We start from the raw sequence: 17,166 nt of genomic DNA on the forward strand, positions 1-17,166 counted from the left end.
AAGTAGATGATGACTTATTATCTACATGACATATGATTATATATGATGACATATGATTACATTATAGCGTCAGTAGAGGAGAAACAAGATGAGTATTTTGCTAATGCTCACTGCATGCACTATGCTTTAAAAGCAAAAGCACAATTGCTTGATCACTTTGACATTGGTATGTGGTGGCCTCACTGTTCTCAGAAATCTTTCTAATCACAGAAGGTACAAGCCCAGCCACTGCTGAGGCCGAATGTGATCTCATGCCAGAGGACCAATATGCAATCTGATTTTGCAACCTCAGGAATAAGGAGTTGGATTTGGGCAAGAATTTGTTGGACTATTTCAGATTTTTAGGGGTTTTTCTCCCCTCCTTCATGAATATTTCAGCCTAATCAAAAAAATCTCAAACCTCACAATATTTTTAAAGCAATAAGTCAAATCAAATAAATGATTTGAATGTTGAAATAATGCAACACACCCCTTCTGGTCAGCACACAGGCAGGGTCTTCTTTACCTGAGGACAGACCTTTTCCTTCCCGCAAACTGTTTCTGTAAGTAATGCTGCCACCTAGCAGTCTCTTGGGGAATCACCACCCTACAAGGTAATAGCTTTCGGTACACACGTTTTAGGTTTGTGGTGGCTTCCCTGCATTTAAGTTGGGTTTAAACAACACTTGAAATATGAATTTAATTACCTTTGAAAAATGTCTTTTCTGCAGGTATAGGTCTTGAAATCATGGTGTGGCAAAAAATAGGCTGTTGAAAGCAGCTCGCTCAAGATGAAAATGATGGCAAAATGCACAGGATTTGCACTGTCCAAACTCATCCAATTGCAGACACTGAATATGTGCAGTTCTTTTTATATAAATTATTCCTCAATAAAGCTGTTTAAAAAATGGTAAAATAAAAAGAAAATGATGAAAAAAAATAAAACACCCCCTGTGTAAAACTTCAGTACATTTGTATGAAATAACAAACCTCTACAAGTAACTTGTGAGGAGAGTAGGTAAAAACAAAGTGTGGATGATCAGCGTCAAAGAAGAACAGCTCTTTAACCAGAGAACTCTGGAGTCATAATCTCAAAGTATCACCTATGTGCCTACTGGAAACCTAAATGCTGTGACATTTTAATTCACAGCAGGAGCTTCACTTGCAAACTAAGCAAAGTTACTTTTTCATGTACTTCACGTTTTTGTGTTTTCACAAAGGTTAAAAAGAAACAGCTAACAGTTATTGAAGTGTTTGCTATTTGCCCAACACTGAGTAAAACACTTTCCAAGCACTGTTATGTAACCTACACAATCCCCTGAGATGATGTTACTGATACTGGTGGCCTGGGGAAGTTAACAAGGCAAATAAGTGTTGGAGTCGGGATACAAACCGAGCCAGTCTGATTTCAGAGCCTGAGCTCTCACCTCCAAGGTTATAATACTTTTCTATTGTGCTGAAAGTTATGTGGGAGCAAACAGATGTCAGATGTTCAGCAGGTTAAAACATGTGTTAACAGGATACAGTAAGTTTCTGTTTTCTAGTTGAGTGGCATGAAAGAAAATGTTCTCAATTGTATCACAGTGACATTTGTCCTATCTCTTACTACAAACTACTTTATTTAATCACTGTGAAACTCTACCGTTAACTCTCTGTTTAATACCTGTTGACTACCTAGATTGTCAGATACTTTGTCCAATTATGCCATCTCACTGTTTTAGTGACATTTCACTTTTTGATATCTTGAGAGAGAGTTTCCTTCTTGTCACTGCTCTGCATTTAGATGTCAGTGAGTACTGACATCTACAGTGGATGTGTCCTGTCCACTTTTACTAAAATAAGGTATCTATGCATCATTTTCTGAGGAAATGTCTTGTCCAAACATATCTCTGAAGATAATTTGAATGTGCATAATATCTTTATCCAGAAATAGCATGCCACAGCAAACTATGCAGCTTATGTTAGACCAGGCCCATGCATTCAAACCACCTGAGAATCTCGTTGAATGCAGGACCTGAGATTCTACATTTTAAACTAGCTCTCGGGTGAAGTTAATGATGCCAGTCCTTGGATCACAATTTAAGTACCAAGGTTCTAAATTACCCAGTTATGCTTGGGTCTGGAAAGAAAATCTGATTCGATTCCAAAGTGAAGCAAAAAAAAAACTTCCCTATAATTTTCTCATTTTATGTATCTGATGATAAAAATCAGGTTTGATATAAACCAAGTTATGTATTTTTATGTTTCTAAACAAGGGTATCTATAAAATCTATTTTAAAAATAAATTGTTTCCATTTGAGTTTTAAATCTATTTGTTTAAATATTTTTTCTTCTTGTCATCAGAGTTTTTGAAATTTATACCTCTACCATAAGATATCATGTAGTGTTGGACTTGAAACTTCTAGAATCATCTGGCTATCAGAGAGCTGCCCAACCTCCAGCCCCATCTTAGGGCAGACATGAATAAGGCTTCTTTGGTCTAAATAAGCTAAATCCAGAGCTCTGGGCATTAAAGAAACTGAAGTCAGATTTTAGAATTGTTCTGCAATTAGTTCCTTGACCTGGTGGTCCTATTTTTAATAGCAGCCAATTTAGGAGTTTCCTAGGTTTATTCAGAGCTCTCTTTCAGGTAACTTTGTCCCTATACTCTTCCCGTTCTTGTCAGTATCACTCATTTTTTTGCTCTCACAAGAAAATATATAGTACTTAGAGGTAAATGTAAAACTTCTATACTTGGGTCTCAAGATCATATCACAAAAGAGTGAAATGAATTAGACACTGTAAGAAATTGACCATTCAAAAACAGGAATGTTATTGCCTACCAACTCAATATAAGTGACTAGAATAATGTTATTCAGTCTAGGAATCTATTAATAGAAGAATAGTGCTAGGACAAAGGAGGTAATGGGCTTCCTCTAGCTTGTACTGGCAAAGCCATAATTGAGGTAATACAATGTTCAGATGTATGCATTTAAGTGTATGCGTGTCTGTGGCTGTGAGTCAGAGAGTGTGATGGAGAGGCAAAAGGGAAGGTAGTTATAATTTATGAGGAACAATGGAAAAGATCAACAGGTTTCAAAAAGGTAAACCAAGATGGTGAGAGAGTTTCAAACTGTTATCAATTCAAAGAAATAGGAGTATTTACTTTTGAAGTGGGTTTTGGAGTGGAAGTTAGTAAGATCTTTTATGGATGGATGGACAGATGGATGGATGGGGGTGGTGGATGGATTGAAGAGTTAAATCCCTAAACACCTCACTTTGAGAAATGTAGAAGCAATGGAGCAGTTTTTTCCCAAACAGATTAGATAGTCAGACAGACAGGCAGGCTATTTATTGAATACATTCTACATGCCAGTATTTGGCCGAACCCTCTACATATACCAGGTGCTTTCTTCTCCAAACAACCCTTTGGAATTCCTATTATCCTCATGTGGAAAGTGGTAAATATGAGGCATAGAGAAATTAAGTGACCTGTCCAAAGTCATTGCCAGGCTGAGCTCAGACTTTGTGCTGTTAACCTCTAGTTTATAACCCTGAGTGACACTCAAAGGTGGCCTACTCAACTCTCTCTTAAAGAAATAACTTGCTGGCCAGCGGCAAGGAGTGCAGTTAGCTGACAGCCTCTACTGATAACCTCCTCGGGCTCTGCTTCAGCTTTCAACCAGAGACCATGTTGTTTCTGAGGAGGCCCAGCTAAGGACCGAGCACGGTTGGGGTAGAAGAGTCTGAACATTTCTGCCCACCATGGGCCCCTCTAATAAACAGTCTTTCCTCTGGAGCTCCCCACTGAGCTGTTGTAGACTTCACCAGATCAGCATTGCAATCTGAGGCTCCCCCTGCCCAATTCAGCCTCCTTCCTCCTTCTGTCTATCGCAGGAGTTGTTCTGAATAACCTTCTTTTACTCCAATGTCCATCTCAGCATCTGCTTTGCAGAGGACACAACTGGCACACCCTGCCTTCATATATTTGGATTGCCATCATATAGAAGACTGTTTAGAATTGTTTTGTGTTGTGATAAGGGGTTGAATTAGGACAAAATTCAACCCCTTATCACAACACAAGCATAAACAAACTGCTAGGGAAGCAGCTTTCACATATACATAAGGAAGAACATCGTAACAACTAGAAGTGCCAAACAATAGAATAACCTGCCTCAAGATCAATGAGTGCCCTGTCACTGCGTTCAGGCTGACTGGAGAACTGCTTTTGTGTGAAGGTTGTGTGGCATTACCACTCCTCCACTTCTACCCCCATGAATACTGAGGCACCTGGGATGCTAAACATCCACAATGCTAATTGATTAGCAAAAACCAAATTGTTTAGGAAATCGCGCCAGGAAGCCCAAACCTCTGATTTCTTAGCAGATCAGTGGGTCTGGTTTGATACATCATCCTTGTCCACTTCCAGGGCAGTTTAGTGGTACTCTAGGCCAGACTAGCCAGTCTACATACTTTTTTTTTAATCAAAGAGCTTCTAGAAAATGGGATAAGCTGTGGGCTGATTGTCCCCATGGACTAGTTGGTGGGATCAAAACCTAACTTCACATATGTTTATGTCAGACTGTAATATGGGGTTCACCCTCTAATGCAGTTCTAATGACTCCCTCCCCTGCCACATGGTTCTCAAGCTCATGGACTTGCACACGACAGCCAGAGAGATTCTCTTCCTCAAGGCTGTTGTCTCCCTCCCTTCATGCAGACACAGGCACACAAAGCAGGGGACTCCTACTGCCCCCTTCTAAGAATTCCATGATGGTCAGATTATATAAGTAATCATATATTTCAGATAGCAAAATAAGAGATGGAAAAGACTGGTAGGAAAATCAATAGCATAATCAGCGTTAGGATCTGTATATAAAGAGACATTCATTTGCTGTGCAAATATTTACTGAGCACCTACCAAAGGCCGGAATCCCTTCCACATGCTAGGGACGTGATGCGCTCGACGGAGTCCCCAATGTCATGGAGTATATATCTAATGCCACTGAGAAACCTGGCTCACCCTGCACTGAGAGAAGCACTCAAAACCACCATCACCAATAGCGCTACTAAAGACAGTGCTTTGGAGCTTCCAAGCTGATAGATTATCCTTTCTCCCCACCCTCAGATTTCTCCAGTGTCTCTGGCACTTATAGTCCATGTTTGCAAGAAATATTTTATTATAGTGCTCTGAAACAAATTTATAAAGTTTGCAAGAGAAGTTTTAAAAAAGCAAGCTCAGCAATATTTGGGGGCTTTTAAAGCTGATGATGCAGCTGACCTACTGGAGACAAAGGCAGTGGGAGGGCCCTTACTGGTATAAATAAATAGGAGTCTCTGGTACTGCAAACCCACAGCCTGGACTCAGAGCTCAAGTCTGAACTCTACCTCCAGACAGAATGAAGTTCATCTCGACATCTCTGCTTCTCATGCTGCTGGTCAGCAGCCTCTCTCCAGTCCAAGGTGAGAAATTTCATTTACATTTCACTGTTTGTTGAACAGAAATAGTCTTTAACCACTTCAATTTTCTTTCGATTAAAAACCGCAGGGAAGTCTGACTAAAGGGGGAAAAAACTGCTCTGTTCCTTCTAGATTTCTCAAAGTAAGGTGTTTAGGAATTTAACTCTTCAAAACTGGAAGTATTTATATTGTTAAGATTTTTATTTATAGCAAAAAGAGATACCACAAGTCCAATATTCATGTGAATTATATATTCCCAGCCTTTTTCTGATTCAGCTCCTGCTATATATAATTCTTTACATGTAGCTCTTCTTTGTTCTGCCTCTCAATGTTACCCACTCTGACCAAACCCTATACAGGGTTTAAAGATTATTGAACTCTACTGGTCTCTTGCAGTGAACATGCTTCATGTAACTCCAAATGGTTAGATCTGACATCAAGTACACCACTGTCAGTACACCAGGGGTATTTACACACATTCTGCAAAGAAGCAGACTTCCATGTCTAAGTGGGGCAGCTATCTTTGTGTCAATAGATAAATATCCAGTTGAAGTAGTAAGTTTTTATGTGGCCGAAGAAATGGATATGTGCAGAAAGAAGCCTTCTGCTCAGATTTAGAAGGCCAAATTTTTGTTCTTAAAACACAGAGGAGCTTTGTCCCCCAGTTTTAATTTTGCTTCACATGTTATTTTCACTCTTCAAAACCCTAATTTCTTGCATTCTCCACGGGGCTTTCCCATGGCTCCCGGCAGAGGTAGCTCTTAGTACATCTTCTGTTCTCAGCATGCATGTTAGATTTTGAGCGTAATACAACCTTCTGTGGTATTTTAGTTTTTGTTTGCTTGTTTCCCCTACTAACTTGTACACACCTTGAGAGGTGAGCCTTTTTATTTATAAATGTATGTCAAGCACAGTAGTAGGCTGGATAGAAAAGATCTGATAAATGTCTTTGGCTTAGATTTCATTAGATCCCATTAAAATTCATGAGATGGATACTAATGGTACCCATCCAGTATTAATTGCTTTTGTTAAATAAAAAGACTTTTGAATTTTTATGATTGCCTTTTGTTCTGTAATGATTTGCAACCCAGACAGAGGACCAACATATCAAACAAAAACGTCTGTGACATTTTCTGAGAGGAAAGGGGAGGATGGCAGAGAGTCTGATAGAGAAAACTCTGTTCCAGCATGTTATTGCTCCCAGGACTCTTGAGCCAGGTCATGTCCTCGGTTTTTATGTGTTGGGAGTGAAGATAATCCACTGGTTTTATATTGCATTAATTATAACTGAGTTGTAAGTCCCTACAGAGGCTGTTCTCAAATTTTATTATGTGGACTATCACCTGAGTACAAATATAACACTATCACAAATTTCAAAATTGCTGTGTTTTTTTGAAAGCTAATTTTTGTTTTGTTTTCTTTTTGCTTTGTTTGTTTGCTTTCTGAGATGGGGTCTCCGTTTGTTGCCCAGGCTGGTCTCAAACTCCTGGGTTCAACCAATCCTCCCACCTTGGCCTTCCAAAGTGCTGGGATTACAGGTGTAAGCCACTGTGCCTGGCCTAAAAGCTAACTTTATTTTTAAAGTTTTGGTAGAAAACATTTGAAAATACTCAAGCCAAGACAAGCAGAAATATACAAACTAAAGACATATGGGTGGAAGCACTGACTTGAAACTTTTAAGTCTTCAAATGCACGTTATGAAAGATTAGTAATTAAATTCTAGTTATGAATTACATGCCAATGGATTAAAATAACTGATTCTGTGTTTACTTACAGGTGTTCTGGAGGTCTATTACACAAGCTTGAGGTGTAGATGTGTCCAAGAGAGCTCAGTCTTTATCCCTAGACGCTTCATTGATCGAATTCAAATCTTGCCCCGTGGGAATGGTTGTCCAAGAAAAGAAATCATGTAAGTTTCAAGAGAAAAATAAATAAGATTTCCTTCTCCCAATGAAATCAGATCAAATGTTACCATACAGTAGTCTTACTCAAGAATGTCGAAGAGATTTACTTGAGTGTTGCTAAAAATTCTCAAACTAATAATGAAAATTGTTAATAATTAAGAGCTTAGTTTGCAGCAGCCCTGAGCTAAGTGCTTTACATGCACATACTCATTTTCTTTATTCAACCACTTTATTAAGGTAAGTCTATTGTTCCTTACAGTCTGAGGCTTAGGAAGGTTAACTAACTGCCTGAGACACACCATCAGAAAGGATTAGAAAGTGCATTAGTGGCCAGGCGTGGTGGCTCACGCCTGTAATCCCAGCACTTTAGGAGGCCGAGGAGGGCGGATCACCTGAGGTCAGGAGTTCGAGACCAGCCTGACCAACATGGAGAAACCCCGTCTCTACTAAAAATACAAAATTAGCCGGGTGTGGTGGTTCATGCCTATAATCCTAGCTACTTGGGAGGCTGAGGCAGGAGAACCGCTTGAACCTGGGAGGCGGAGGTTGCGGTGAGCCGAGATCACGCCATTGCACTCCAGCCTGGGCAACAAGAGCGAAACTCCATCTCAAAAAAAAAAAAAAGAAAGAAAGAAAGTGCATTAGCCAGGACTCCATTCACATTTTCCCCGTTGCAAAGCCTCTTCTTTGCGACACCTTGAAGTATTAGGCACAGCATCTTTCTCAGGGCATCCCTGACTTGGCATTCATGAGTGGCTTTTCCCATGGACTTCTTTAGATTTTTGCAATGTTTGTAAGCAGCTACTTCCTCTTTGTCACATTTTGTTACCAGTGCTTGGGGCCTTGGACCAGTTGAAATATGGGATATCAAAAGTGCATATGGTAGTTTTTCACTAGAAAGGCATTTCACTAACGTCTTTAACAATAATGTCTAACTAAACTACAATTATTGGCATCAAACTCAGAGATGTGAAGTCTAGCCATGACCTACTTGGGAGTAGTTCCCCTGGCTGTTTAGAAAACTGGGACCCCCTTCTTTTGATTCCATTTCCTCTGTCATGACTGGTCTCTTGCCTGTCAACCAAGGAAGGTAATGCACCTTAATTTTCTCTGCTTTAACTTTGATTGTTTTGAAATGACAAAAATCTGATTTTATATCTTTTCATCAAGTTCTGCATTTGTGAATTTTAACCAGATACAGAAATGAAAGTTTCAAATTATTGTGAGAAATTCATGCCAGTCACAGGTGAAAATACCGTGAGTCCAGATGATCAGAAATCTGTCTTTCCATCATGAACTCAGAAACCCAATTGGAAGTGTCTATCTGAAAACCCAACTGCTCCATGTCCTGTGACCTCTCTAAGATTTACGTGCAAAAGTGCAGTTTCAGAGTTAGATGGATGGATCCTTGCTGTTTGTCTTTATTGTTTTGGGGTTTTTGTGGTTTGTTTCTGTTTTTTGTGTTTTGGGTTTTTTTTTTGTTTTGTTTTGTTTTGTTTTGAGACAGGATCTCACTCTGCTGCCCAGGCTGGAGTGCAGTGGCACAGTCATGGCTCACTGCAGCCTCAACCTCCTGGGTTCAAGCAAGCCTCCCTCCTCAGCCTCCCGAGTAGCTGGGACAACAGGTGCACACCACCATGCCCAGCTAGTTTTTTTTATTATTATTTCTGTAGAGATGGGGTCTCATTAAGTTGCCCAGGCTCCTGGCCTCAAGCAATCCGCCCACCTCAGCCTCCCAAAGTGCTGGGATTACAGGCATGAGCTACCATGCTGCTGGCTGTTTGTCATTTTATAACTAAGATAAATGACATATAAGGAAATTGTGTTTTGTTTGAGTTCACACCAATAGAGGGTAGAGTCTCCCAGTTTTCTGCTGTCTGGCAGACCTCACTTTTCCACTTCAGATAAAGCATTTAACACTATATCTGGCACTTGGTAATCACTCAGGTCATGCTCATGAAAAACAGTGAAGAAAAGTGTGGGCTCTGGAGTCAGATAATCTTCATTTGAATCCTTCTGTATCATGTATTTGTTGTGCAATCTTGAACAAGTTATTTAAATTCACTGAGCCTAAGTTATCATCAGAAGGTAAGGAAGTAATAATTTCTCCAGCAAAGGATTTTTGTGAGATGAATTGAAATAATCCATGTTACCTGCTAAGCATAGTGCCTGGTGTGTTATAAGTACCTGATAAATATTAGCTATTAATTATTGCTGCCACTTTTGCTATTGCTTAATATCTTAGAGCAGGAAAAATCTTGCTAAGTGGTAATTCGACAAAATGCAGATGTCACTCCAAGCAATCTGCTCTGCAGCATGCGTCTCATGTGAAATTGCACTGAATTTTTTTTTTTCAGTGAAATTCAGGTTCTCAAGAGAGTGTTTTCTACAGCTTATTTTGTTCTCCCAAATGCAGTGCAACAGATAAGCACATTTTAAAGATATTGTGATATAACTTTAGAAGTGAGCCAATCTTGGAGTAAGTTATTTGGTTGTTCTCCAATGCACGTAAATGTTATCAACAAAACACTAACCTCTGACATGTGAGGCCCTCGCAGCTTTGGATTCAACCCCACCAGCTCACACATACTGTTCCACAAATGGTTGTTCTCTTATTCCTCTGACCCCATACTACAAATCACCTATTCCAGATCCCAAACTGCCCAGCTCCAATTTCACTTCATCTAGGAATAATTATTTTCATACCAAACTCTTTTCTTTATTAAAAGTATAGGATTGACTAAAATGTAAGACTGAATTATTTAATTTTTATTTTCCCCCAGAGTCTGGAAGAAGAACAAGTCAATTGTGTGTGTGGACCCTCAAGCTGAATGGATACAAAGAATGATGGAAGTATTGAGAAAGTAAGTTAGGCATAACAAGGGGTTTCAGATTCCAACTTGTACTGAAGAGTTTCCCTTTCCTGGGCAGTCAAAATAGGGACTAGCTTGAATTTATGAGAAGTTCCTAAGACAAATGTGTGTTTTTCACTGTTATTGCTTATCAGATGGAGTAGGGGTAGCTCATTCCAGCAGCTCAGTAAACCAAACTAGATGCCAGTATACATAAGAGTCCTTGCCCGGTATCTCCAGAGGAAAGCCACAGTTTCTTGTGTTTCTCTAAACATGACAATTTTGTTTTTGTTTCTGCTTCACAGAAGAAGTTCTTCAACTCTACCAGTTCCAGTGTTTAAGAGAAAGATTCCCTGATGCTGATATTTCCACTAAGAACACCTGCATTCTTCCCTTATCCCTGCTCTGGATTTTAGTTTTGTGCTTAGTTAAATCTTTTCCAGGAAAAAGAACTTCCCCATACAAATAAGCATGAGACTATGTAAAAATAACCTTGCAGAAGCTGATGGGGCAAACTCAAGCTTCTTCACTCACAGCACCCTATATACACTTGGAGTTTGCATTCTTATTCATCAGGGAGGAAAGTTTCTTTGAAAATAGTTATTCAGTTATAAGTAATACAGGATTATTTTGATTATATACTTGTTGTTTAATGTTTAAAATTTCTTAGAAAACAATGGAATGAGAATTTAAGCCTCAAATTTGAACATGTGGCTTGAATTAAGAAGAAAATTATGGCATATATTAAAAGCAGGCTTCTATGAAAGACTCAAAAAGCTGCCTGGGAGGCAGATGGAACTTGAGCCTGTCAAGAGGCAAAGGAATCCATGTAGTAGATATCCTCTGCTTAAAAACTCACTACGGAGGAGAATTAAGTCCTACTTTTAAAGAATTTCTTTATAAAATTTACTGTCTAAGATTAATAGCATTCGAAGATCCCCAGACTTCATAGAATACTCAGGGAAAGCATTTAAAGGGTGATGTACACATGTATCCTTTCACACATTTGCCTTGACAAACTTCTTTCACTCACATCTTTTTCACTGACTTTTTTTGTGGGGGGCGGGGCCGGGGGGACTCTGGTATCTAATTCTTTAATGATTCCTATAAATCTAATGACATTCAATAAAGTTGAGCAAACATTTTACTTAATTATGAGCAATTTCTTCTTCTTCTTCTTTTTTTTTTTTTTTTTTTTTGAGACAGAGTCTCACTATGTCGCTCAGGCTAGAGTGCACTGGCACAATCACAGCTCACTGCAGCCTCAACCTCCTGGGCTCAAGCAATTCTCCCACTTCAGGCTCCCCAGTAGTTGGGACTATAGGCACACACCACCACACCCAGCTAATTGTTGTATTCTTTTGTAGAGACGGAGTTTCACCATGTTGTCCAGGCTGTGAGCAATTCATTCTTAATATAGCATCTACTCAAATGTAGACATTCTCTGATTCTTAAAATAGGATTTTATGAGGTTAATTTTTCTTTGTATCTCATTTGCCTTTTACAGATGATCTAAAATCATTTGGCAAAGGATGAGTGAAGTTATTCCTGATATTAACACAGTGGGAAATATTTGGCTATGAGGGCCTCTTCCCCCTAGTGTTACCTACCGCATACTAACCGTGATTTCCTCCAGACTTCAAACACTTATCAAACCCATTTTCACTGTGTCATATTGACTCTTAAAGTCACTAATGTTTCATCTGACAGTTTTGCATTGAGTTTGACCAACAGACAAAGAAGACACTTGAACTCTGGTCCCTATCTGCCCCTGGCATCAGCCTGGATATCCTACCCACCACACCACTAAGCTCCACTGTGTGTTCCTCTCCCCACCCCACCCCGCTACTGCTTAACAACTGCTTTGGGGGGTCTGCTCCCAGTTCACCCAGGTTTTAAGCTATCTCTGACTCCCTCTTTCACTTTTCTTTTTATTTTTAAATTTATTTTTATGTTATTAAATTCTTTCTTGGGAGAAAATTAAAAGCACCCGTAATTACTATATTTTCTCTTGTCTACAATTCAATGTCTTTTAAATTACAAATACACACACGCACACATAGAGGGCTGATAAAATGTCATCAAGATCCTGCCTTGTAGCGTTTTTCAGATTCCAGTGTTTAGAGATCAGGAATCACTTCATTCTTTAATTCGATTTTGGTCTCCTTTGGTAGTTAGACAAATATTCAGAAGTCTCAAATAAGAAACACCACTATTTCTCGTGAAGTATCTACTATTATCACCCCTGCTTGGGACACAGTGGTTAAGTCATTTGCTCATGAGACTCCATCTCTACAGAAATAAAAACTAGCTGGGCATGGAGGTGTGCACCTGTAGTCCCAGCTACTCAGGAGGCTGAGGAGGGAGGCTTGCTTGAGCCCAGGAGGTCAAGGCTGCAGCTACTAAATGACAAGCCAGCATTCAAATTCAGCCAGTGCGGAACCAGAATCCATGTGCCTAACTATTGTACTGTGCTGACTCTATAGAAGGTTGGTATCATCAGTAGAAACTGAGGCATGTACTTGCCCCAAATCGTATAACTAGAAAAGACAAATCAGAACTCAAACCCAGGGCCATCTGACTCCTAAGCAAATGCTGTTAATCACTTCACTAGACTGCCTCAAGTTTTCCCTTCCCTAAACATATTTCTTACTTCAACTTCTTTGGCCACTATCCTTTTCAGGGCCAATCAAAGCCAGGGGAAGGGTGGGAGCTCCAGGACGTTCAGGCTTCCGCTGGATTGAGACGTTCATCCTGTGTTGTCCAATCCCAGGGGGATCTGGGCAGCTGGTGGGTGGCGTGAAGGCAGTGGGCCAATGTGGAAAGCGAAACAAAAGCAGGGCCAGTGAGGGTTTCTAAACTCGCTTTTCTTACCACACAGGCATGCATTCCTCAAAAGTCGGAGTGGATTTGGGGATGTTCAGCCTGGTCTGAGACAGAGAGCTGAACTCATAGATGCAGGAAACTTGTGAACCAGTTCCTGGAGTGTCTGAGGAAAGGCGGGCTATTGCAGATCTGAGTGGGTTTGGGTCTGGAAAGAAAGACTTGTGGAAGAGTAGGGCAGTGCAGTATTCATGCGATAAATGACTCTACACACACACACACACACACACACACACACACACACACACAAGTTAATCAAAAATCAAAGTAAAATAGAGTTGAATGGAAAATATAAGGTAATGCTGGCCAAAACAGGATGTTCAACACTGAGAAACTGAATGAAGGAGGTGCATGGGCCAAGCAGCACAGGGATCTCCTAGTAGCAGAATGCAGGGGACCTGTAACAAACCCATCAATAGTGCTGCTCAAACCCATCCACCCAACCAGCAGAGGCCCAGGAAGAAAAGATTCTGCTTCTCCAACAGAAGGGCTCAGCCTTGGCCTTACTTTGAGGGGGAAAAAAAAATCCACCAAAATAACAATACAATAATTTAAAAATATACATTCTAAAAATACAGCATAACAACTATTTACATAGAATTTATATTGTAATTTAAAGATGATTTAAAGTACAGTACACAGCAGAGTGTGCATAGGCCATATGCAAATACTGTTCTTTTATATAAGGGACTTGAGCATTCTCAGATGTTGGTGTCCTCTGGGGTTTTGGGGAAGGGGCTGGAACCAATCCCCTGAAGATACCAAGAGATAACTATATTTGGTCTTTGTCCCAGGTTCCTAGTACAGAGCTCCTAAAACCCTTGGAATTCCCTGAGTGATGCGAGTGTCTCGTTATTCACAATGAGCCCCTTTTAACCATATCTGAGTTTGTGGCAATGAGGTGACTATTGGCAGGCCCTGGGATAGCCTTAGGATGGGGGTTGGCAGGCAGAAGAACCAACCATGTGATTAGAGGGTTGGACCTTTTGTCCCACCCTCCCCACCACCTCTAGAGAGAGGAAAGGGGCTAGAAATTGAGTTTATTACCAATGGACAATAATTTAATCAATCATGCCTGTGTAATGAAAACTGATATAAAAACCCCCAAACAATAAGGTTCAGAGAAATTCCAGAACATCGAGGTAGGGGGGCGGTGGTGAGCTGGAGCAGGCATGGAAGGAAGCTCTGTGCCCCTCTCTCCTCACCCTGCCCTGTGCATCTCTTCCATTTGTTCCTGAGTTGTATCTTTTATAATACCCTGGAAATAGTACTACTTTCCTGGGTTCTGGGAGTCATTATAGCAAATTATCAAACCTGAGGAGGGTGACCTAGGAACCCTTAAGTTTGTGGTTGGCTGGGCAGAAAGGAAGATAGCCTGGGCACCCTATGTGCAGCTGGCATCTGTGGGACTGAGCCTTTAACCTGTGGGGTCTACACTAAGTACAGATAGTATTATAACTGAATTGAATTGCTGGATACCCAGTTGGTGTAAGAGAATCACAGAATTGGAGATTTGGTTGGTGTCAGTAAACACTTGAGGCAAAAAAAAAAAAAAGGGAAAAAACCTCTCCCAAAACCTCCAGGTGATTTCGGTGTTCTAAAATTGGAACGCATAGTTCAGCCAGCACAGAATATTAAAGTCATCAAGGGAGCTCGCTTTTCTTATGTCAGGTTAATTAAGTTATAGTTTACAGACAGTAAAATTGACCCTGTCTAAGTGTTCAATTCAGTGAGTTAGCAGGAACAGCCCCAGCCCCTGTTCTGTTATTATACTTCTGCCTTTTCCAGCCTGTCCTATAAATGGTACGGCCTTTTGTCTGGCTGCTTTCACTTTGCATAATGGTTTTGAGATTCATCATCTTGTTGAATGTATTACTAGCTTCTTCCTTGTTGTTACTATTATTTCATTGTATGGACATACAACAACTTGTTTATTCACTTACCAGTTGATGGACCGTTGAGTTGTTTCCAGTTTGGGGATATTATGATTAAAACTGCTGTTAACATTTACTACAAGTCTTTGTGGGAACATACGTTTTGGTTTCTCTTGGATTAATACCTGCAAGTGGACATGCTGGGTCATGTGGCAGGTGGATGTTTAACTTTATAAGAAGCTGCTAAACTGTTTTCCAAAGTAAATGTACCATTTTGCATTCCCATCAGCAATATGTGAGAGTTCCAGTTGCTTCACATCTTCACCAGCCCTTGGTATTATCGGTCTTTTAAATTTTAGACATTTTAGTGGGTGTTTAATCTCTTGTGGTCCTAATCTGTATTTCTCTAATGGTTAATGATGCTGAATAGTTTTCATGTGTTTGTTTAAGATCTTTGTATCTACATTACAAATCTGTCTTACTTGCCCCCACCTTCTGGGTGGGTGGGAAGGAGCTCTATCCCATTCCATCCAAATGACTCTGCTATATTTCCACTTTGGATTTTGCAAAGGTACCTCAAACTCAATGTCAAGGACCAAAATTCATGATCCAATTCCAATCTGGTCCAATTCCAGTATTTCCTACATCTGTGAAAGCTCCACAATTTGTTTCATTATGCAAGATGGAAAACTAGGACTCGTTTCAAAATTTATTTTCTATCACCACCAGTTCTGTATCCAATCCATAGCAAAACATCATTGATCCGTTTCCCTAAATATCTTCCTAATTCGTACACAACTCTCCATCTTTACTACCTCCCTATGCCAACCAAGATGCCATCAAGTCTCACCTGGACTGATTAAATAGCTTAAAAAGTAGCTACCCTCCCCCACCCCCCTGACTTCCCTCCATAAAGCAGCTAAGGTGATCCATTCAAAATGCAAGTCTGACAATGTCACACTTCTTCCAGTTCCAAGCTCAATGGTCCCTTCCTCAGGACAGCCTTCCGTGCCTAGGTTAATCTCCTTGTGATAAGCTGTCATGTAACTCTTTCTTTTCCTCGAAAGCACTTACCTCAGTCACTAATAATACCATTGTTAGCGTGACTATTGGTCGTCCGTCTCCAATTAGGATATTAACTTCATAAGGGCCAGAACTGTGCCTGGTTTTGCTCACCCTCAGATCCTTAGCATTGATTATGGCCTGGCACATGGTGGGAGTTCAAGTATTTTTTGGATAAATATATGAGTGAATAAATGAATATCTTATAACGGTCTCATTTGTTACTATTTAAGATACTTCAAGAAAATAACTTTTCATATTTGTCTTATTTTCATAACTGGATTGAAAATTTCTTGGAGACAGTAAGTCAGACTTTTATTTCTTTGCAACCCACATGGTGTCCCACATACTCAATAAGCAACTCTTGTGCAGAATGAAAAGCATCTTGTACAGCACGTAATTTGTTTGGAATATTTAGGAAATAATTTTTTTTACTATATTATCTAGAATACATGGCTAGGAAAGAGTAGGAGCTAACCACATTTTTATAACTATCATGTGCATCTGAACATGCTGGTGGGTTTGAATTAACTGATAATTGTCATTGAAATTTAATATAACATTGAGCTCCCCAAGCTAAACTCCACTAAAAGTATGTCATGACATTATGACACTAGCATATATTGCTGGAAAATGCTAAATCTATATGAATGCATTCTCAAGATAAATTTAAAGTGACTGATATTTATTAAATTCTTATATGCCATATCATTTAGGGTACCAATAGGAAATAGAAGGCATGCATAACTGGAACTTTGAAGAGAATGCAATGAAGGAAACTATTTCAAAGCTGTGGGCAGGGTTAATGGAATATTGAGGCACTTAGGGACCAGTAGCCACTCCGAGGCCTGAAGAAGAAAGGTGAGGAAATGGCGTTATGGAAGGCTGTTGTAGACCTGCAGTTTGGAAGACAGATTGCCCAACAGGAGCCATAGTCATTGAATGAGTCATCGGCCAAGATGCCATCAAGTCTCATCTGGACTGATTAAATAGCTTAAACACTGTAACAGCATGTAAGTTGTTTGGAATATTTAGGATTTTTTTTTTTTTTTTTTTTTTTTTTTTTTTTTGATACGGAGTCTCTCTCTGTCGCCCAGGCTGGAGTGCAGTGGCGCGATCTCGGCTCACTGCAAGCTCCGCCTCCCAGGTTCACGCCATTCTCCTGCCTCAGCC

General features: G+C 40.0%; 1 protein-coding gene across 2 annotated transcripts in view; it reads left to right on the forward strand.

The window, feature by feature from the left end:
* The window catches only part of CXCL13 (C-X-C motif chemokine ligand 13), a 100,082-nt gene extending 88,756 nt beyond the window's left edge, over nucleotides 1–11,326 (forward strand). Inside the window, exons 2-5 of one of the 2 annotated variants that reach the window (NM_006419.3) lie at nucleotides 5,316–5,421; nucleotides 7,195–7,327; nucleotides 10,106–10,186; nucleotides 10,480–11,326. In NM_006419.3, coding sequence (NP_006410.1) covers nucleotides 5,358–5,421; nucleotides 7,195–7,327; nucleotides 10,106–10,186; nucleotides 10,480–10,531 — 330 coding nt within the window. In that variant the 5' untranslated portion in view covers nucleotides 5,316–5,357 and the 3' untranslated portion in view covers nucleotides 10,532–11,326. Of the gene's footprint in view, nucleotides 1–5,311; nucleotides 5,422–7,194; nucleotides 7,328–10,105; nucleotides 10,187–10,479 lie in introns of those variants that run through there. The other variant, NM_001371558.1, reaches the window with a different exon arrangement.
* Nucleotides 11,327–17,166: the final 5,840 nt, after the last annotated feature.

This window comes from Homo sapiens, chromosome 4, assembly GCF_000001405.40.
Source record: "Homo sapiens chromosome 4, GRCh38.p14 Primary Assembly".
Lineage (NCBI taxonomy): Eukaryota > Metazoa > Chordata > Mammalia > Primates > Hominidae > Homo > Homo sapiens.